The sequence below is a fragment of the Homo sapiens genome, chromosome 13 (assembly GCF_000001405.40).
Source record: "Homo sapiens chromosome 13, GRCh38.p14 Primary Assembly".
Lineage (NCBI taxonomy): Eukaryota > Metazoa > Chordata > Mammalia > Primates > Hominidae > Homo > Homo sapiens.
This window is the reverse complement of record NC_000013.11, coordinates 37576730-37600140: the sequence shown is the minus strand read 5'-3', so window position 1 is coordinate 37600140 and position 23411 is coordinate 37576730. Positions and strand designations below refer to the sequence as shown.

General features: G+C 34.0%; 1 protein-coding gene across 14 annotated transcripts in view, besides 1 other annotated feature; it reads left to right on the top strand.

Annotated features, from left to right (window-relative positions):
• Window positions 1-1372: 1372 nt before the first annotated feature.
• The window catches only part of POSTN (periostin), a 36184-nt gene continuing 14145 nt past the window's right edge, over window positions 1373-23411 (top strand). For 13 of the 14 annotated variants that reach the window (NM_001286667.2, NM_001286666.2, NM_001135936.2 and 10 more), the window contains exons 1-16: window positions 1373-1533; window positions 2859-2957; window positions 7977-8041; window positions 9612-9769; window positions 12155-12319; window positions 13213-13359; window positions 13861-14002; window positions 15213-15425; window positions 16038-16172; window positions 17627-17775; window positions 19444-19580; window positions 20150-20280; window positions 20782-20912; window positions 21020-21122; window positions 21230-21297; window positions 22343-22388. In NM_001286667.2, coding sequence (NP_001273596.1) covers window positions 1415-1533; window positions 2859-2957; window positions 7977-8041; window positions 9612-9769; window positions 12155-12319; window positions 13213-13359; window positions 13861-14002; window positions 15213-15425; window positions 16038-16172; window positions 17627-17775; window positions 19444-19580; window positions 20150-20280; window positions 20782-20912; window positions 21020-21122; window positions 21230-21297; window positions 22343-22388 — 2008 coding nt within the window. In that variant the 5' untranslated portion in view covers window positions 1373-1414. The remainder of the gene's footprint in view (window positions 1534-2858; window positions 2958-7976; window positions 8042-9611; window positions 9770-12154; window positions 12320-13212; window positions 13360-13860; window positions 14003-15212; window positions 15426-16037; window positions 16173-17626; window positions 17776-19443; window positions 19581-20149; window positions 20281-20781; window positions 20913-21019; window positions 21123-21229; window positions 21298-22342; window positions 22389-23411) is intronic. The other variant, NM_001424174.1, reaches the window with a different exon arrangement.
• Window positions 4504-5153: an enhancer, noted in NCBI's record as "OCT4-NANOG hESC enhancer chr13:38169125-38169774 (GRCh37/hg19 assembly coordinates)". NCBI's record gives its function as "activates a minimal SCP1, AML or CMV promoter by ChIP-STARR-seq in naive and primed H9 embryonic stem cells {active_cell/tissue: H9 hESC(naive and primed)}" and the evidence as "EXISTENCE:reporter gene assay evidence [ECO:0000049][PMID:30033119]".

Sequence of the window (23411 nt, the reverse complement as noted above, 5' to 3'; positions counted from 1 at the left end):
CATATTGAAATGGCCTCTCGATCATATTTCAGCATTTGTGGTTTCACTGTGTGCTTTCTTAATAAACTAAGCAGCAAGTTGTAGAATATTTTAATATCCCATAGTGAGTTTAAGCATAACTCAGGATACTCAGAATCCTCTCTAGTTCAGTCCAGTTCCCCTAAAGCCTTCCCAATAGAACAACAAGGAGAATTCTGACAAAATCTCTCTACCTCACCAGTGGGAAAAGAACATGGATATGACATTACAGAGGGAGCATCTTGTAGCAAAATGGATTGGAATTACACTTTAGGATGGTGTGCAGCTTGTTTATTCAAGGAAGCTGATTGTGGTTACCATTTCAGCTCATTGTTTCCCTCTGATATTCAGATTTCTTTTATCCAAAGTTTTCTGAACATTTGACATATGCATGGAGTAGTAAGAACGCACATTCCTTTGGCTAGGGATTGCATAGTGTAACATTGAAAGGCTTTAGTTATTCTTGATAAAATCAGAAGAATCATTTTGGCAATGTCCATGTTTCCTAATATGTATTTAATTGTTCTAGTTATCTCTAGATTCGTAACACTTGCTTCCAATATTGGCTGCTTTTCACCAGTGGTTATCAGTAGATGTGCTGCATAGACATGTTCAACATCACATAAAGTGTGTCATGAAAAACAATAAAGCACAAATGTTTTTCCTTTCTGCTTCATTTCAAACCTTAGAGAAATTTGTCAGAGTAGATTTATGTTAACTCTATATGTTCCTTGATATTTGAAAAAGAAAGGAAATGAGAGGTAGCTCTCCTTTTTGTACGATAGCAAGGAAAATATGGACTCTCCTACATGGTTCTTCAGCAAGTTAGAATTCTTATTTCATATCTTACACAAGTTTTAAATCTATCCAGAGTTTGTTTTTAATCAACAGCCTTTACCCCCTTGTGATTGTCAGACTCGCATCTACCTTTGTTTTCTGGTAAAAATAATAATAATAATAATCTTTCAGTTCTGATGTGAACTGCAATAACACCTAACAATAATCTTGAGCACACAGACATTATACATTCTACTCTGGAAAGGATTGCAGAATATCTCTTAAAACTCAACAAAAGAATTTTTCTTAAAAACCCTCTAAGATACAAAGGAATAAAACTGAGACTTAAACATGCAGTGAGTCAATTGTTCATATGATTAAAAATAAGTACCTTCTTTATAATGAAAAGGAAAAGTAGCTCAATGTGTTCCTTAAATATAACTAACCAAAACAAATCTTAGCTGGCAATTTGAAGTTGCCGATGCTTCCTGGAAAGAGTTCAGACTCTCAGGTTGATGCAGTGTTCCCTCCCACAACTCTGACATGTATATAAATTCTGAGCTCTCCAAAGCCCACTGCCAGTTCTCTTCGGGGACTAACTGCAACGGAGAGACTCAAGATGATTCCCTTTTTACCCATGTTTTCTCTACTATTGCTGCTTATTGTTAACCCTATAAACGCCAACAATCATTATGACAAGATCTTGGCTCATAGTCGTATCAGGGGTCGGGACCAAGGGTAAGTGAGTGGTTTGGTTTTATAAACCATTTTTCTTTTTCCTCAGCTTGTTAGATGTTCAAGTATGCATAAAGTTTCTCATATATGCCTCAGGGTTTTTTTTCCTAATTATTATAAAGTAATAGGAAAAAAAGGAAAATGTGAGTATTCTGTGATTTATCTATGCACTTTTAAGCTTTAAGACTTAATTGCTCTCTAAATACCTTGAATATAATTGCTTTCTTATGAAATGTTATATAATTCTAATCTAATTAACACAATTTAGCTGGGCATTCTTTTATAATTCCATTTATTTATGTTTTTATTTTCTTCCAAAAATCTGAAATTGAGTTTTCAAAATTAAAAAATCTATTGTTAGGAACTATCATATGTATGCAAACAGCATTGAAATATCTCACATGATGTTAGAGAAAATTTTATTTAAATTACATATGAAGGTTAAATACTGGGTAATGTAACTAGTTCTCTGAATTCTTTGAAGCATTTAAGTTACTTTTAAACTCTGAATTCTGTAAAATTTGCAAAGGTAATTTATATTTTATAGAACTAATGCAACTACAACTAAGCATTTTTAAAATTACACATAATTTTGTAACTTATCCAACCATTTATAATTTTTTAAGCGGATCTTGGCACTTCTTCCTATGCCTCACAGGAATTTTCATAATGTTCACAAGCTTCTTTGACTTACAGTGAAAAAAGACTTCTGTCCCTTTAAGAGGGGAAGGGGAACCTTAAAATTGTGACAGAGGATGTTCTGATCTGTTACTTCCATTCAAAAAGATAAATTCTCCTTTGTGCAACCATATTGTTTCAAAGTTAATTTTAGCACATTTACTTCTGTGATTACTTACCTAGAAAATTACAGAGTATAGTGTCTGTGTACATAATAAACCTTGTCTCTTTTGCTCTCTGACCTCTCATTGTTCCAGAGAGCCCTGAAGTTATGGCCATCCTCCAAATGAGCACATGCTTGGTTTAAAAAGGGTCAGTAGATTATCTACCATTAAAAGTAATAAGGCACATAGAAATAAAATTACGTTCATACTGTTTGAATAGTCCTAGTTGGTTAACTTTTTGAAAAGCTTGTATTTTACTCTCAGAAATGTATAATTTTTCTCTCTCTCCCTGCCACCTCCTGTAGACTTTCGGTTTTTCAACAATTCAGTAGGATTGTGTCAATAATTAGATTTGTGCAAGGCTAGAATCATGTCTTTGGATATCAAATCCACATCTCAACATTTTCTTCTATCAACCAATCTTTAGATACGAAAAACTAGTCATTATTAGGACATTAACTTTTTTCCTTTCCCTCTATCCTCCAGCCCAAATGTCTGTGCCCTTCAACAGATTTTGGGCACCAAAAAGAAATACTTCAGCACTTGTAAGAACTGGTATAAAAAGTCCATCTGTGGACAGAAAACGTAAGTCTCTTTTTTTTTTCATAATATGTCAGTTCCAAAAACAACATCATGATGTATATGCCTTCCCCTGGGTGTACACACCATTCTTCTTGAAAATACTGACCAAAATTGTGAGAGTTATTTAAAGAAAAGAAAGGAATACATACGTGAATAAAGAAGTTCTCCCTGCATCTCCAATATTACTATTAGAACTCAGATTTCTTCCTGAATCCATGTGACATGGAGGCCAGAAGGAAGCAGATCACATGGCTCAGGATTGGGTATAGAATCCGTGTGAGTAAATGATGTTGTTTCTACTCCTGGTTTGGCCCTCTTTTATCTTAGGCAAGTCACTTAACCTCTGTGACTTAGTTTCCTCATTTTATAAAAAAGTGGGCCAGAAAAACAAACTGATTTAAAATATCAGAGTTTCTGAGGCAAAAAGTTAATGTTTGTCTCTAGTCATTTGGAAATTGTCTAAAGTATTCCAGTTTACCGGAGAGTTTTCATCAAAGTTTAAAGTTAAAAAATACTTGAGTTTTATCTCTTTATTTAATCCAGTGATTCTCCGTTCAAGATGCTCCATCCCCAGAGGTCCACAAGGTGATAACGGAAGCTCATCATTATAGTTAATATCTCAATAGCCCAAAGGATGATTATGTTTTAACATATGTTTCACTGATTAGCTTAAAATTTGAAAGCATTATTTATTACTTAATAGACATGCCTTCTGGTTTATTTTACCAATAAATATTGGTGGAAAAAAGTAATAAACACTCTGGACTTATTAAGGTCAAGAACCACTCCTGTGATCCAAAGTCTTTATTTTACAATGAGGGAGACCAGTCATAAATAGGGCAAGTAATGCAATCAGAAAGGTTTAGGTGTCATCCCCAGTCAAGAAAACAGTGCAAGTGGCTCCTTCCTGCTTCCTATTAATTTGAAGTCCACCCTCAGTGAAGGATCCCTTGAGAATCAAAAGACCCCAGGAAGAACCTGCTTAATACATCAGCATTAAAATTCAGTTACCCTAAGTTCGGGTGGAATAATTTATTAGAAACTTATTTCTAAGTTAATAATATTGGTATAAATCCTAAACATGGGCCAGGAGTGGTGGCTCACACCTGTAATCCCAGCACTTTGGGGGGGCTGAGACAGGTGGATCACTTGTGGCCAGGAGTTCGAGACCAGCCTGGCCAACATGGTGAACCCCATCTCTAGTAAAAAAAAATACAAAAATTAGCCGGATGTGGTGGCAGGCACCTATTTGGGAGGCTGAGGCAGGAGAATCGCTTGAACCTAGGAGGTGGAGGTTGCAGTGAGCCGAGATGGCACCACTGCACTCCCGAGTGGGCAACAGAGTGAGACTCTGTCTCAAAAAAAAAAAAAAAAAGATACTAAATATGGAATCACTTAACTTCTTGTAGACTTACCTGTAAAACATGGATTTAATAGCTATATTATAGAGTTTCTGAGAAAATAAAATGAATTGATAAATGTGAAATTACTAAGTAACCATAATGCATAATATCAATTGTTCTTAAAATTAAACTCTTTTAAACAAATGCATAGATGTAGACAGGAAAGGAAGTTGTGACCAGATGCCTATTTGAAATGCACAAGATTGTCTTTATTTCTAAGTAAGAACCATGTATACAAGGCATTTAAGCTTAGCTGGGTTGCATCTCCACATGGTAACCAAGTCTAGGGCACCAGAGGACTTTGCTGACCATCTCCTGCTCATTGGCTTAATAGAGTTTCAACATGATGTTATCTTTTGACCTGAACATTATTCCTATTATTGTGCAGACTTCTGCTAGACTTGTGAGTCATTCACACAATTATAATGCAATCAGTTGTTACAATGATCTCTGCCATGCTGCAAGCTAGGCCCCAGTAGGGACTCTAAGGCTCTGAGTTTTCCTCTTTGTTATTTATATTCTTGGATACCATGAAGCATATTTGAAATGCACACTTAACTAGATAAGAAAGGACCTTCACCCTGAAATGTTAGGGAGAATGCTTATTACATCCTTCCTAGAAGATAGAGAAGAATGCCATAAATTTACTTTAACCATCTAAATATATGAGAGATGTCAAGGCTTGTACAGAGGCTATGCCAAAATTCTTTCTTGCTTTCCATTAAAAAAAAAAAAATCACTACTTTGAAGCCTGGCTTTTTTTTTTTTTAACCAGAAATGTAACAGTGTCTCCTTTGTTCAATTGTATTAGCTTATTTTTCTAAAGTAGATTCATTTTCAAAAACATAGTTACGTCTGGGCACTGAAATAAATGTAAATGCTAATTTCAAATAACCAAAGAAATCAATACTATTGACAGGAAGACTGACTGGTCTGCCATCTGCTTGCTTCTGCTGAAATTTCCAGAGATATCATCAGGACTTTATGATCAGATGACAGAAATGTTTGCCTTTCAGCTGACAGTTGCTCTGGGGATTTGAGAAAAGTAAACTGAGCAGGCCTAATGAAAAACGTGAAGCTTCCTAGGGTCAAGATATTGTCCAAAATATATATTGGTCTAGTAATATAGTATTCTGGAAACTTCCTCTAGAGAATGTCTGTGATATTTTTAGCTGGCATCTCATGAAATGTTAGATACTATTCTGAAAACAAAAATAAATTTCTCATGTTTAGAGCTATGTATAGCAATATTTTTTTTACTCTTGTTTTGCCCTACTGACCATATGGGAACATTGAGTTTTGGGTAGCATAAATGTTCTTCTGAAAAAAACTGCTTTTTTTTTCTTTTCAAAATATCCGCTCAGAGATAACCACATTGTTCAATTATCTGATGATATTACAATGAACTGCTGGAATTTTATCTCATCTACTGCATTAATTCTCTACATTATGACTGACCCTTGTCATATTAGCATTTGCTAATAATAATTTTTTGTTAAATTTCCTTTTCTATTCACTATTTTACTTCAAGTAAGTATTATCAATCTATGGACTAAGCACATTTGTATCTCATTTTTTAAATTGTTTACAACATATGCTAAAGCTAATATATAAGCAATTGTTAATCAATCTTTTGACATCCAATAATTAGATTTATTTACAAGAGCTCATGTAAATAAAATTATTTAGAGGCTCTATTATGATTTGCATAAGGCTCCTATATACCTTTTATATGTTTCCAATACCAACTATTCTTCAAACTATATTAAAATTAGAGAATAACTTGAAGTGGGTATTTCCCATTTAATTTTGTCTGTATTTTTAGCTATCTATTATTCTTAAGCCAATATTTCATGCCAGGAATTTTTTATTAACAAATAAAGAATGAGGATCCAAGGTTATAAACCAGACTACAAATCCTAGATAATTACTTAGTGTAGCAGGGTTCAATTTGAAAACATTTATTTACTTTTATTCAACTCTATAAAATCATCTTTTATATCATTAAAATTTTTGCTTCTTGATAGTTTGCTTTTATCATTTTTATCATACTAAAAAAAGATTTTATTCTTATACTTGGCGATCTCTTTCATGTCTAAATTATTTTATTCATTCATACTTCTTGAATACAATTAAGACAACTGGATAAAAAGCCAGAAAAGAAATAGCATTTGAATAAGCTGATTCATGTTTAATTAGTGAATTGCAAAATAATTAATCTATAATTGTCATAATCTGTTTGACATGATATTTATCAATTAAAAATTACAAAACGATGTGCATTTATTTTTTACTTGTAATAATCCCCCTATTTCTAATTGTTTGGTACATGTACCTTTATATTTCTTTTGAAAGGAAACATAAGTAACTATGTAAAATTTGAGTTAAAATAGGCTACCTATGTTAGATGATGAAGTCCAGAAAATATTCTATGAAATGCGAAAAAATAAAAATTAGGATTATATTATAATATTAATAATATAATTATACATTAATATAATCAGTTTTTATTTTGTAAGCAATTATATATAATTTTAAATTATTATTTTCCCTCAAAATATAGTAAATTAGATAAACTTATTTTTTGTATATCGTGATATCTTGAATTTTCTGGTCTGTTACCTTAATTATTGCCTATAGAACTTAACACACTTCGTTAACTTTAAACAGGATGCCACTTTCTTGAATACTAAACTCTAATATTAAAATAAACTTACTTAGATTATTTTTATCAAATTTTACAAAAATAAAAAGATTTTAAAGTTTATATATAATATAATACAATTAATAATCCTACCAACAATTCAAACCAAATATGGCATTATTTTATCTAGCAATGAGATAGCATGTTACGGACTCCAATGGGTCAATGTATTTTCTTATGTTTCCAATTATATTAAAGCAGATTTCTAGCCATTTTTAGTTTACAAAATGATTTCAAAAGCATTATTTCATTTGAGATTCACAATTACTCTGTGAGTAGATATTATAGCTACTATATTCATGTTAAATGCTTGGGGAAACAGGGACTCCTATTGATTAAATGACTTGCTCAAGGTTCACATGTCAACCAAGTAGTAGAACTAGGACCCAAATGTCGTTCTTCTGGATCAACATTATGGAACTTTTCTATAGTAACATGAGACTGTAGTGAGAAATCAAACTCATAGAAATATAGAAAAAATCGGCCGGGCGCAGTGGCTCATGCCTGTAATCCCAACACTTTGGGAGGCCCAGGTGGGCGGATCATGAGGTCAGGAAATTGAGACCATCCTGGCTAGCACGGCGAAACCCCATCTCTACTAAAAATACAAAAAATTAGCCAGGCGTGGTGGTAGGCGCCTGTAGTCCCAGCTACTCGGGAGGTTGAGGCAGGAGAATGGCGTGAACCCGAGAGGCGGAGCTTGCAGTGAACCCAGATCGCGCCACTGCACTCCAGCCTGGGCGACAGAGCGAGACTCCGTCTCAAAAGAAAAAAGAAAAAATCAGGGGGGAAAAAAAACCTGATTTTTAGAACCTCAACAAATCAAGTCAATAAGTGAAATATTTTGTCAAATTTATGTAAAAATGTATCCTATTTAGTTTCTCATTTTAATATTAATTTTCTTCCTATGTACAGGACTGTGTTATATGAATGTTGCCCTGGTTATATGAGAATGGAAGGAATGAAAGGCTGCCCAGCAGGTAAAATCTCAATTTTTTGAATTAAATAAGGAATTATATGCAAAGAAAGGGTTGAGGTGGCTTGTGGAGAAGCCAATTGTGTATGTGTGTATTCAGCACCATCCTAAATCCAAGATATATCCCTCCTATTTTTGTGTTAATCATGAATTTATGAATGATAAAATATAAGAGCATATTTCTCATGCACTGGATGCTGGGCAATACAACAGAAACTTAGTCACAAATTTAAATTAGTTCAGCTTCCCTTCAGGAACAAAACTCTTTACAAAATCCTGTTCTTTGAACTTGTCTAGGAACATGGAACTCAACTACTTGGCAAAACTTCATCTTCTCTAGTTGAACAGCTCTGATTTTATAATATTCTTTATATTGAAATTTGGTTTCCTCTACTTCTGCCAACTAGAGAAAAAAAAAATAGCTCATCTATTTCCTCTTTGAAATGGCAGCCATTCAGATATTTCATGCCAATCACCACACCTTTCCTCCAGCTACCTTCTCTTCTTGAATAAAGTCTTCTATTCTCTGGCTAACCATCCCCAATTCTTTTAATATGACACAGACTTTGAAGCCCTCCCCATTATAACACCAACCCACAGAAAGTCTCTAGTCCAGTAATCTTTCTTCTGAATACAAACCTAGACTGATATTTAAAGTCCATCCATGTGGGTCTGAGCATTTAAGACAATACCAAGATAAGTACCTGATTTGGGGACACCTTGCACTTTGGATAATGTCATTGGTAACCATGTTACATCATTAGCTTATATTGAATTTAGAATCAATTAAAATTGATTACAGTTTTTTTTACATACACTATTAAGTCAGGTCTCTAGGATTTGTTTTTCTCAATTTAGGCATAGGAATTACATGGAACCTTGTTAAATTTAACCTTGTTCATTTTGACTCAATTTCTCCATCTTTTTAGGGTCTTTTAAAATCCTGGTTTTATACTTAATAGTTGTGTCACCAAATCTAAGGATATTCACAAATTTAATAACCATTGATTCTATGCTATTAATCAAATTATACTAATTTTCAAATAAATAGGGTCAGAAAAAATAAGTTGACTGCACATTACCAGATAAATCCCTTCAGGCTGACATTCATTCATGAATCTTTCTTCTGACGTTCGGGAGAAATAATCTGGAAGGATTGAATATTTTAAATCATTTGCTCCCAGAAATTGTAATGAAAACAAGCAGGCCTACATATTTTTAGGGACCCAAATCTATAAAAATGATAGATTTAAATAACAGATAATATTGAATTATAATTGAATTATTATTGACATAGCAGGATTGAGATCTAAATAGGTTAAATGTTAAACCAGGATGACAGTTTAAATTTTTTTTTCCTCAACACAAAGGATATGTAAAATAATGTTTTTCAGTAGCATTTTATTATTTAGCACTCAAAAGATAACTTTTATATAAAAATGATTATTCATATAATTGTATTGCTAAAATTATTAGCTAAATGTCTTGGGAAACACAGCATAAAGTTTAAATGATTATGAATAATATCCTGAGAATATTATCCCCAGTACTGATTCATTTCTTGATTATTTCAGTTTTGCCCATTGACCATGTTTATGGCACTCTGGGCATCGTGGGAGCCACCACAACGCAGCGCTATTCTGACGCCTCAAAACTGAGGGAGGAGATCGAGGGAAAGGGATCCTTCACTTACTTTGCACCGAGTAATGAGGCTTGGGACAACTTGGATTCTGTAATTCATTATTTTTATCAATATATTTATTTTTTGCTGTTATTGTTATTTCATTTTAACTGACTTATTAACTTGGATATTAGTAGAAATTTTATATCTTTCTATTGTACATATATGAGAATACCTAAAGGGATGAGTTATTAAGGGAAGTAAAATATCTTAATACATCCGTAAATAGAATAAATCTCCAGGAGACTTATACTTTAATTTTTTTAAGAAGGGGAATCAAGAATCAGCTAAAAGGGCACTTACTATTCTATTTTACTCCTTTCCTCTTTCCTGTTTGTTTGTGAGGATATGTATGTAATTTCAGATAACATGTCTAACAGAAAGGTAAGTTAAGAAGCCTACTGAAATTTAAAATTATCATAAGCAGTATTATACAGCAATATTTTATTACGTATGTTTAATTATATGTATATATATGGATGTTCAGGTTGTCAAATTTGTATACATGTATGTGGATAGTTAAATGAAATGTGAAAATACATTTGATTTTCAGACTTTTGTGCACAGTCTAATTTACAATGCCTTAAATTATTACTCAATTTCCGAATCTATAAAACTGATATAAAAATACATTCCTACTTTCTACTAGATATGGAGATGAATTGATAATTATTACTAGAGTGAAATATACATAATAAAATGTAGGTATATATCTGTAGGCATTATCTTGCTACACTAGCTGTGTGGTTAATTGCTTGATTATAGAAATCGCTCCTCTGGTTGTCTTTCACCGCATCTCTAACCACCTCTCCAGTTCCTTTTGCTGACTCATCTTCTTCCTTGCCTTAAAGAATTGAGCAATGAGAACACATGGACACAGCAAGGGGAATATCACACACCAGGGACTGTTGTGGGGTGGGAGGAGGGGGGAGGGATAGCATTAGGAGATATACCTAATGCTAAATGACGAGTTAATGGGTGCAGCACACCAACATGGCACATGTATACATATGTAACAAACCTTCACGTTGTGCACATGTACCCTAAAACTTAAAGTATAATAATAAAAAGTAAAAATAAAAATAAAAAGAATGGAACTTATAAGAATTTCTTCCAGCACTTGACTCTGCTCTTTAAATGCACTTATCATGGTTTCAACTATCACTTTAGTGCATACAAACAGTAAACCTACGCTTGTTGTTTGGACTTGTTTCTTCTTGGAACCTCAGTAGAATATTTCTATTGTTTATCTTAGCATTTATCCTTGGATATACCATCTGCATCTTTAAACAAAAGTTATCTAAAACATATGCAATTTTCTTTCCCCCCAATAAATAATTGGTTTTTTTTGTTGTCTTTTCCCCACAATTGGCAGTACCAGTGTCAATGTTCAGACTTGAAATTTGTAAGCCATCCTTACCTCCCCTTTCTCCAATTCTTAAAAACTGCTGTTAGCCTCATCTCATGTTTCATCTAAAGTGATCCCCCTAATACTCTAATTTCTGCTGTACATTACCACTCAACCTTCCTGAAGCCTGGTTCTAATCATTAAATTCCAATGCCACAAAATCTTCAGTGGTTCCTTATGGCCAGTTTATTTCACTCCTCTTAGGGCATTAAAGTTATCCACGTTATTGTCCCACATACCCTTCTAAATTTCTTAGTATTATCTGAGAAACATAAAAGTGTGTATTAACCAAACTGGACAACTTTTGCTCTCTTGGCATTCACCCTATCTCAGCACTGGATTTAAAAGACCACCACACCATTCCTATTCATTTAAATCTCATGGTCTATCTCCAAACTACTTCCGAATAGCTGTTCTTTCTTATTGGAGCCCTGAAAGCATTTTTCCCCTCTGTCCTATATCTTACTCTGTCTACTTTTACCTGCTGCTATATGATAAACAGTTGTGACTTTTTGCTTTACTTATCATTATATTTCCCATAGCATTGAGTAAAGCATAATATGACACATAGTGTTGGATAGATAAAAAGGTACAGGACAGTTGAATTCTTGAATTTGTTATGGAATAAACATGAAACCCTTGTTAAAACTTAAGTGTTGCATACAAATATAATGTCATTTTTGTTTTCTTTTGTTTGCCATTTAAAGTATTTTAAATATGTGATAATTTCATATCTCCCTTTCTTATCATTTTATTATTTATATCAAGATTGTCTCTTCATCAACATATTCACTTTAAAAATTGTGTTCTAAGTACTGTATCACATTCAGGATCCTTAAGTAAGTATCTGAACTTACAAAATCCCTTAACCAATTAGAATAATATAATTTTAAGTTATTTATGTCAATTTTGTATGACCATCTGATAATGAAATGAGAAAATAGCAAGAGAGTAGAAATAGGGTGATCGTAAGACTTTTACTAATGTTCCACAATAAATTGAATTTCTATCATTGCAATTTTTCCTAGGATATCCGTAGAGGTTTGGAGAGCAACGTGAATGTTGAATTACTGAATGCTTTACATAGTCACATGATTAATAAGAGAATGTTGACCAAGGACTTAAAAAATGGCATGATTATTCCTTCAATGTATAACAATTTGGGGCTTTTCATTAACCATTATCCTAATGGGGTAAGTTTTATCAGTAAAAAGTACACTTATGAAAAATACCTTCTTTAATTTTGTCTATACTTTTTATATAATGCTCACAAAAATAATAAAATGTTAGTGAGAATAAGGTAAGTGCTATATTATGACTTTACCCCCAAATCTAGGGCATGTAAATTTCCAATCTGGTTATTAATTTCTACTAAAGAGTGATTGTAAAGGACAAATTACATGAACAGTTCATTGACAGTAGACAGGTATTCTAGAAAAGGAAATTTTAGTAGTTGATATGTTTGAAATAATTTATCGTAGTAGCAAAAAGAATAATCAAAGAATGAGTGTTCTTTTACTCCCCCTCTAGCTACTGTACTAACTGAAGTACTTGTGTGTTTGGATCAGATTTTGTGGGAAACTGCCAACAGGGTCATAGGACTTTTTCCACAGCCAGCCAAATTCTCAGGGACGAAAGAGGTCAATGAAGAAACAATTTTTAGGAAGTTCTTGTAATGTAACTAATTATATCTATACAATAATTATTTGTTTCTCCCTCTCAAAACTTAAATTTTAGGACTGATTAGACTTCTTTACCTAATTCATTGACCCACATTAAAAAGTTTATGACTATTTGCATAAAAGAGAAAAGCAATAATTTAAATGAAAAAAACACCTTTGCCTTATGTTGCTAGATATGTTAAGTATGACTTGACTTGGGTTCTCAACTGGTTCCCTTTTCTCTTACAGTTTCTTTTTTAGATATAACAACATGTAAATCTTCATCCACAGCGTTTACATTTACAATGTAGTTTCCTGTATGTTACATTTACTAGTATAAATGAAAAACTGGGAATGGGCTTGCAGTCTCAGTGGTCAATGGGTATCTCTGGTTTCAGCACTTTGATTTTTCCAAATAATTATAGGTTGTCACTGTTAATTGTGCTCGAATCATCCATGGGAACCAGATTGCAACAAATGGTGTTGTCCATGTCATTGACCGTGTGCTTACACAAATTGGTACCTCAATTCAAGACTTCATTGAAGCAGAAGATGACCTTTCATCTTTTAGAGTAAGTCCAAGAGCAGATTGTCTTGAGTCATTGAAATCCCTCTTCTTCTCCTGTCAAAATCTAAAAACAATAAAAATGCTATTAAATCTGGCAAAAATGTAACACATATTTTTTGAAAGGACTACTATTTTCATTTTACACAGAAGAAACCATCTCATATGAAATAATAATATTTCTGTGGACATGATAGAGTAAGAATGGTTAGTCACATGACTGGCGTGTATTTAGCTCATTTAGAACGTGTTCATCTGTTATTATATGTACTGCTGGATATTGCTACAGTCCCATAAACATGGGCAGAATTCCCATTCTTGCAAACACAATTTGAAGAAAGTTGGAAAAGACATGGTTGTGTCAAAAAGTAATATTTTGAAGATTTAACAACAACAAACCTCTATAGTGTAGGAATCAGCTCCTTCATGTCAGCCTAGGCTAAGTGTGTTGCAATCTTTTTCTGGATTTACAATGTGAAAGTCTCTGAAAAGCACATTTGTGTTTCAGGCAGCTGCCATCACATCGGACATATTGGAGGCCCTTGGAAGAGACGGTCACTTCACACTCTTTGCTCCCACCAATGAGGCTTTTGAGAAACTTCCACGAGGTGTCCTAGAAAGGATCATGGGAGACAAAGTGGCTTCCGAAGGTAGTTTAATGTCTTCATCTCTAAGGAGTCTCCCAGCATTCTGAGAAGGGAATAAAAAAGAGGCTAGTCCTTACCAATAATATTAGTTTTAATAAGCAAAGGCAGGGAAAAATTTTTATTCTGAGATGTACTATGTCTTCCAAAAGTCCTTAAAAGAGTAGGCAGAGTATAATTCTTAAATAATAAGAATACTCTCAAGATCACATTCTTTCATACTGCTTTCAAGTAAATAAGTAGTAGATATTCAGAAGGATTAGCAGGTGTTGGAAAGAAATATTAGATCATCAAATTTTAATATTGTATGCACGTTATGCAATGCTTTTAATTCTGTATTTATGCCAAAAGATATTGAGTTGTGAGAACTGTATGGTTCTCTTGGGCCTCTAATTACTGATACACATAAGAATTTGGTGGCTTTCCAAGCTTCTTTGCTGTTGTCAGATAGGTTTTACATTGTGCTTGCATACTTCACTTACTCAGCCTATCCCAAAATACATTTAACCAATTTAAGATGAGAAAATTTTAGGATGCAGGATAGATATAATGTAGTTGAGGCATAGATCCCTCCAGAGGTCCTTCAATGAATCATCTTTATTTGGTTACTTTCTAGAAGTTGCCTTCCGGAAATAATTTGTCTTATCCTCAGCCTCTATCGACCTCATTACATGTTATATACAAATATTCTGCTATGAGCAGCTATTACAAGATACTGCTCTTGGGTATTTTGGAATTTCACAGGCCTTCCTTTTCTTTCTCTTTTGGTAGAGAGGGATCTTGCTGTGTTTCTCATCATGGTCTTGAACTCCCGGCCTCAAACAATCCTCTCACCTAGGCCTCCCAAAGTGTTGGGATTACAGGTGTGAGCCCTTGTGCCAGTCAAAGTTCCTCTGAAAGGAACAATTCTTGCTTTCACATCAGGAGTTACTTTTTTATGATAGCTGGAACTTAACCTACCACGTTTTCTAATACTGCACCAATCATTTCCTGAAGCTGATCTCCTCTTATTATTCCTACGAAGCTGAGCTGTTTCTATTTTATAGTTGATAGGAAAAAACTTTTAGAACATAAATAGGATTTTAAAGCTGTTAGTGAATCCTTAGGTTTTACTACATTTTAAGGAATACTTAGTTCCACAGTGAAACACATCTTTTCAGGGTCAAATGTTATTTCCCTTGATCTGAAAGCTACCTGTTTTTATTGTGTTCTCCAGCTCTTATGAAGTACCACATCTTAAATACTCTCCAGTGTTCTGAGTCTATTATGGGAGGAGCAGTCTTTGAGACGCTGGAAGGAAATACAATTGAGATAGGATGTGACGGTGACAGTATAACAGTAAATGGAATCAAAATGGTGAACAAAAAGGATATTGTGACAAATAATGGTGTGATCCATTTGATTGATCAGGTCCTAATTCCTGATTCTGGTAAGCAACTTTTTTTGTTTTTGTTTTTGTTTTTTTACTTACTGTAATTTACTAATTATGCTGTCTCAAAGAGTAAGTCCATGAAAAATGAATGTGCAGTATAAAGAATGGCATGCAAAGCACTAACACAATAAATAGTGAGCTACTTGAGCACTCCATAGATAGGCAGTGTAGTGATGGGAACTCCATGCATGAATCTTTGGCTTTCTAGGGTTTCTGACATCTAATATTTATAACCGTTTTCACAGTGCCAGAGTTTTTCTTGGAAAGAGAAGGAAAGATCTAACCAAATGGTCAGCTTTGGATAAATGGAAAAGCTATGGAACTCACAGTATAGAGAGAAAGATGAGAGATGAACAATAGAGAATTAAAGAAACATGTAGTAGGAAGACAGAAAAATATTTTCCTTCTGAAATTTATCGTGATTATCAACTCCCACCAAAAAATGGAAGTGGAACTCTCTTATTAGGGAGGAGGAGGATGTCTTATCACACTGACATTGCAGTAAATAGCTTACAATATTAGAAAAGAGTCAGGAATTGATTTACTAGTTTCATGATGGAGATAATAGCAATGATGACATTGTTGTGATGGTGATGGTTTATTTTTCAGCCAAACAAGTTATTGAGCTGGCTGGAAAACAGCAAACCACCTTCACGGATCTTGTGGCCCAATTAGGCTTGGCATCTGCTCTGAGGCCAGATGGAGAATACACTTTGCTGGCACCTGTGAATAATGCATTTTCTGGTATGTGCTGGACACTGTTGTTCCTGCTCTCTGCCTACACACCTTTTTTTCTTTATGATGATTGTTTGCAATAAGAAACAATAAATGTTTTAGGAGGTGTTGATTAGTTTCTGCATTGGCTACACATACAATGTGTTAACACTACATGGTCTCTACTAAAATGTTCTTCATTTCTAAACATTTCATTATAATGGATAATAGCCTACAGAGAGTGAAATTTGTAATTTGTAATTAAGACTATTCAGGCCAGGCGTGGTGGCTCACACCTGTAATCCCAGCACTTCGGGAGGCCAAGACAGGCAGATCACTTGAGATCAGGAGTTTGAGACCAGCCTGGCCAGCATGGTGAGAACCCATCTCTACTAAAAATACAAAAATTAGCCAGGTGTGGTGGTGCACTCCTGTAATCCCAGCTACTCGGGAGGCTGAGGCAGGAGAATTGAACTGAACCCAGGAAGCAGATGGCACCACTGCACTCTAGCCTGGGCGACAGAGTGAGACTCCGTCTCAAAAAAAAAAAAAAAACGAAACTTAAAAAAAAGCATATTTAGTTTCTCTGTGAATCTAATATTTCCAGCACAATAAGGATGCATTGACAGATCTCTAAAAAAATAAAACTGATTTCTTTATTTGATACCAACATAATAATATTTAGAAATAAATAGGTGTGTTTTGCATCTCAAAATTTGGACAGTAAGGGTGTCAAATTATAAATAAATAAAATGAAGAGACTTATACACTTCCATATCATGATGTAAAATAGTATATATAAATATTTCACCTAGTAGTTGCTATTCACAGACCATGTTCAGATTCATGCAACCTTCGACCTTTCTCAGGAAAATGATTTCACAGACATATTTAAATTGTTAGGCAACATTTATTAATTAAAAATAGGTAACACAATTTTTTGTTTTTCCAAATGCTAAATTGTGATATAAAAACTATTAATCAAAAAAATTGAATTCCTAGATATCCTGACTTTCTTCTTTGTAATAATCCTGCCCATGTGTTTTGACAATAACCCATATTTAAGAGGTTGTTTGCTTTGATTCTCTTTCCAGTAATCAAGATTAATTTACAAAGGATTCATCAGTAGTTCTTTCATGTGACTAACAGATATCTAATTATCAGACAAAGCCTTGGCCACCATTAAGGTTTAGCATTTGCCAGTGACCACTATAAAACTATGTAGCCCTTACAGAGGTGAAACTCATTGATTGAACTGGTTGGAACTGTATTATTGTCATTTAATACAATAGGTCACAGAGTTTCTACTTGGTGAATTGAATTGTTAGTTTTTAGCATTTGGTTGATTCATGTATTATATGAGTGCAAAATCCATGATATCAATAATGTCAGGGATTATCTGTTTATATGATTCTGTCTTACCGGGAGAAACTTCAATGTTTTCTAAATAAAATAATGCTCTTTCTTAATGAATTTATTTACAGATGATACTCTCAGCATGGATCAGCGCCTCCTTAAATTAATTCTGCAGAATCACATATTGAAAGTAAAAGTTGGCCTTAATGAGCTTTACAACGGGCAAATACTGGAAACCATCGGAGGCAAACAGCTCAGAGTCTTCGTATATCGTACAGTAAGTGAATCACAACAAAATAAAAAGTCTGTCAAATGACATGTCAAATAATGCTGTTTCAATGAATATTTCACAGAATTTTATGAGTGTGGTTCTAATAGTAAATATTCATAGAAGCATCAGGGAACTGGGTAGCTTGGGTGAAAAGACTGTGAGCAAAGTCCACAACAAGTGCTATGTATTCAAAACTCAGATAGATATTTTGCATGTGTTTCATTATGAATAACTTTCTATTCTAGAGCATCAATTATTTTAAATTCCAGAAAGCAGTAAATTTTTTAAAATAAACTTTTCCTTTGCAGAGTACTTTACAATTTTCAAGGTAATTCTGTTCTCTGCCTACACACCATTTTTCTTTATGATGATTGTTTGCAATAAGAAATAATAAATGTTTTACAAGGTGTTGATTAGTTTCTGCATTGACTACACATACAATGTGTTAGCACTATGCTGTCTCTACTAAAATGTTTTTCATTTCAAAACATTTCATTATAATGAATCAAATATGCAAGGTGATCTTATACTGTAAAATAACCAGTCAGCATCTGAATATCTTTTGAATGGCTTTCAAGATAAACCTTTATTGGCACATAGAGATTTCTGGACTCTAAAAAAGGGTTTTAATGTACTTTTTTTTTTTAAGGGACAGAATTTCACTCTGTCACCCAGGCTGGAGTGCAGTGGCACAATCATAGCTCACTGTAACCTTAAACTCCTTGGCTCCAGGGGACCCTCCCACCTCGGTCTTCTGAGTAGCTAGGACTATAGGTGCACAACATCACCCTAGTTAATTTTTTAATTTAATTTTTCTTGAGACAGGGTCTTGCTACATTTCCCAGGCTGGTCTCAAACTTTCAGCCTCCAGTGAACCTCCTACTTTGGCCTCCCAATGTGCTGGGATTACAGGCATGAGCCGCTGCACCCAGCCCTAACATACATTTTGCTGCAGGAAAATTTATAGAAATATTGCTTATCAAAATTACAGTTCAACTAATGATACGTTCAGTATTTGTCCAGATAACACGTACAGCTACAACTAAAAGACTTCACAGGAAGTCAGGCATTACCTAGAACTGAATCTGGCACATGTCAGCAGCTCCCTGCAGCTACAAAATTCCAAACATTTTTAAGTATGCATTAAATGTGCTGCACTTTAAATTTTGTATATACAAATATATGTGTGTATATATATATCACGTTCGTTCAAAAAGCTATGAATATGTCAATGATTTGACTTACAATGATGAATAGGGTCTTACAGTCAAGAAAATAAAGTAAATATTTGTGAAGATCACTAAAAGCACTAAAGTGAGGAAACCTTACAGATAGTGTTGGCCAAAAGAGGGTCTAGAGAAATAGTTCAAATCTGAATAGAAATTATAAAAAATGTAGAAGTGGGATTCCATGGAACTTTTGTAATTTATTGACAAAATTACCTGCCTGATCCATAAGGTAGCTTGACTTTTAATAAAAAACCCGGCTAGATAAGAAGTGTCTTGTGAGTTTGTGTGAGCCATTGAAAACAGAGGAAAGAAGCTGTTCCCGTGGCCTCAGACACCAGGCAACCTCTCAGAAGGGCCGATCCGGAAACTTAATTATGTAGTTACATCTATACGGGAAATTTCAAGCAAGGAAAATGACACCCCATACCTTTCTTTCCTTTCCTAGGCTGTCTGCATTGAAAATTCATGCATGGAGAAAGGGAGTAAGCAAGGGAGAAACGGTGCGATTCACATATTCCGCGAGATCATCAAGCCAGCAGAGAAATCCCTCCATGAAAAGTTAAAACAAGATAAGCGCTTTAGGTAAGCCTATTAGTGGCACCTCCACAGAGAATGAGAGCTATTGGCATATTTTTGTTTCATAGGCGGTATCCCAAAAGGCATTCAGTCTCCTATGTGGTTGAAAATGGAATTTAGAATAAAATGTTCATACAAGTGTTTTCAAAATTGATATATGTTTTCGCTGCTACTTTCTGGTACACCGTTATATGATTTCATGTGTGAAAACAAATCTAACAGACTAAACTACTTCTTGACATTTTTCTTATAGTTTTTAGAAATTGATGGTATATATAGCAAAGACTATCTTGTAGAGTATTACATGATAAAAATGCTTCTTTTTTGTTATGTGTGACCTTGTCAAGTTTTATAGGATGAAATCAGATGAAAAAAATTAAAAATTGTATTGTATATTTCAGTCATTTTTCATGATAAAACTTTTAACAGGTAAATTGTATTCGAAACATATGAAAATGTATGAGCAGTTCTCTCATGCTTTCCACAATACATGGATTCTATTCTATTACATGCACTGTAGGTGAACATACCTAAATCTAAATCTGACAAAATACATATACATTCTTCCCACTTAGCACCTTCCTCAGCCTACTTGAAGCTGCAGACTTGAAAGAGCTCCTGACACAACCTGGAGACTGGACATTATTTGTGCCAACCAATGATGCTTTTAAGGGAATGACTAGTGAAGAAAAAGAAATTCTGATACGTAAGTGGAAGTGAATTCCAGATATTTTCCCTTTCATTTCAGGATCTCACTTCTTTCTCAAGCTTTCCTGTCCAGATGTCTGCCTTAAAAATGCCCCCTCTCTGGTATTCATGGTTAGCTTTAGTTTCCTTTTATTTCGTCCACTTGGGATGTGTGGAGGGTCACTCAGTAATGTTCTTAAACTGTGAACTGTTATGTTGTTGGGCTAGATGTTCACTTATGTGGTTTCTATTAAAGACCATGTAATCAGGGGACAAAGAAGAAAACAGTTATAATTTAGAAAATAAATAGATTTTTTTCTCCCAGTAAGTTGGGTTCTATTTTGATTAGGCTAATTGAAATAACTATGTTTTGAAATAGCATCGATATCTACTTGAGAGAATAATGATATTATGAGAAAGTACAATATGGAAAAAGATAAAGACTAATAAGTGTTTTGTTTCTTAGTCCTTATCAAAAAGTCATATTATTCAATAAAAATAAACATATATTTTCCCCTAGGGGACAAAAATGCTCTTCAAAACATCATTCTTTATCACCTGACACCAGGAGTTTTCATTGGAAAAGGATTTGAACCTGGTGTTACTAACATTTTAAAGACCACACAAGGAAGCAAAATCTTTCTGAAAGAAGTAAGTTGTCTAGAATGAATTTATGATAGTGTTCATCCATCATTAAGTTATCTAAATATTCATCCTTAATGAAATTTCCTCATTGAAATTGCCTCCTATTTTGATAGGTAAATGATACACTTCTGGTGAATGAATTGAAATCAAAAGAATCTGACATCATGACAACAAATGGTGTAATTCATGTTGTAGATAAACTCCTCTATCCAGCAGGTTTGTAATTATTGAACTCATTGATAGGCTAAGTCTTTTTTTAATATGAACCTCGATTTTTATTTTATGCTTTCTTACCAATATTCATTTAATATTTCTCTTCATAGACACACCTGTTGGAAATGATCAACTGCTGGAAATACTTAATAAATTAATCAAATACATCCAAATTAAGGTACTAAAAGTTACTTGATTTATTTCTTTTTTTTTTTTTTTTTTTGAGATGGAGTCTCGCTTTGTCGCCCAGGCTGTAGTGCAGTGGCATGATCTCAGCTCACTGCAAGCTCCGCCTCCCATGTTCACTCCATTCTCCTGCCTCAGCCTCCCGAGTAGCTGGGACTACAGGCGCCCACCACCACACCCAGCTAATTTTTTTTGTATTTTTAGGAGAGATGGGGTTTCACTGTGTTCGCCAGGATGGTCTCGATCTCCTGACCTCGTGATCCACCCGCCTCAGCCTCCTAAAGTGCCAGGATTACAGGCGTGAGCCACCGCGCCTAGCCTAAAAGTTACTTGATTTATTTCTAATATGTAGAACATATATTACAGGTTTAACATAACAGGCTAGAAATGTACGCATTAATAAGTAAGTATGTACTGGGCTTGGATTACTCTTTGTTGTTTATGTACCACTGACCCACCTGTAAAGAAATGGCATCATTTCTTCATGGTTTTGTTCAACAAATATCTATTAAAAGCTACTCAGGACCAAGTATTGTGTAAAGTGTTATGAAAAATATGTATTTAAATTGGACATGTCTTTATTCAAAAAGTTTACAGTCCAATTTAGAAAAATAAAATGGTACATAAATGACTAAAATCGTTGTATCATTCAATACTTTCACTGCAGAATATAAAGGAAAGAACATTCACTTATAAAAAATTGTCACTCATCACAGATTAAAGGGAACGGAATATTTTTCTTCTTTTTCAATGTAGGGTAAAAGTAGCAGGAAACATAAAATTGTGTTTCATAAATATATTTAACTTTGGATTAATTATTATATAATTTTTAAATCTCTGAGTAATGAATCCAATGATTTTTATGCCCTCTGACCTGATAGCATTGAATTGGAAGATGATTTATATGAGGACTTCACTTCTATTAAGTGTAATAATAGCTTCACTATTTTTACTTTAATAAGAATTAAAGTGGTGCCATGGTTTTGTTAACACAACTATCACCTTTCATGTTACTAAATATAAACATTTATTTTCAGTTTGTTCGTGGTAGCACCTTCAAAGAAATCCCCGTGACTGTCTATAGTAAGTATATAATAAATATTGGCCACCTGGGTGGCAAGGTATGAAAAAAGAAAACAATACATTTCTTTGTATTTACAGAGATTATTGATAATCTGGTATTTAGAATTCCAAACTATGGCCAATCTCATTTCACTTGAAAAAAGGATTGAGGTCTCAGATAACCTTCAACTCCAATGAACTTCTTCCCCACTCATTGGAAAAACAGAAATGATATGACATGAGAAAGACAGCAAAATATAATATTAGCGTGGCAAAGAGCCAGGAAAATAAAAAGACATATAAAGGGAAGAGATGGCGAAAAGACCCTCTAGAAATATCTAAAAATTCAGATGTGTGGACACAGAAATGACCTTAGCCAAGACTTGTTGTTCACGCCACCCTCAAGCCCTGAGCTATCTAAGGGCAGGCTGAGAAGCACGTGTTGAAGAATACCAATGTTTATAAGGTGGCAGTTCAAAAACTCTCCCATCCAAAATTGGACAAAGGAACAAAAAAATCTGCCATGTGACAAATTTAAAGTTTCCAAATTCCAGGGTTCTTTGATCTCTGACACAACCAGATTATCAAAATTAAACCTCTACTACTTAACAATGATAAAGGGTATTTCATTCTCATAAGTGTAGCTAGTAGTATATCTTTTCCATCATGGCTTTTTCTCTGTTTATCTTTTCTCTCTTTCTTTATTTCACTGTAGCTTTCAAGCAGAAATTCTTTTCATTTTGTTTTGGCTCTGTAATTAAACACTCAAAGTGTATCAGTAGCTAAAACATTACTTCAATACCCACATTTATTCTGGCTAGAAAATCATTCCATTTTATACCATGAGCATCCAGTTATTTAATTAAGAAAATTTCCCTTAAGATTTATACTAGATATGGAAAAGGAGTAAAGCCAATGTAAGGAGCAAAACAAAATGTCTGCTGCTGTTGTTGATTTCAATTATGCAATAATAACATGCAATTCCAGGATCAGGCCAGCTCAGCACTGTATTAAAGATTTAATTGGAATAGTTATGATTCACCA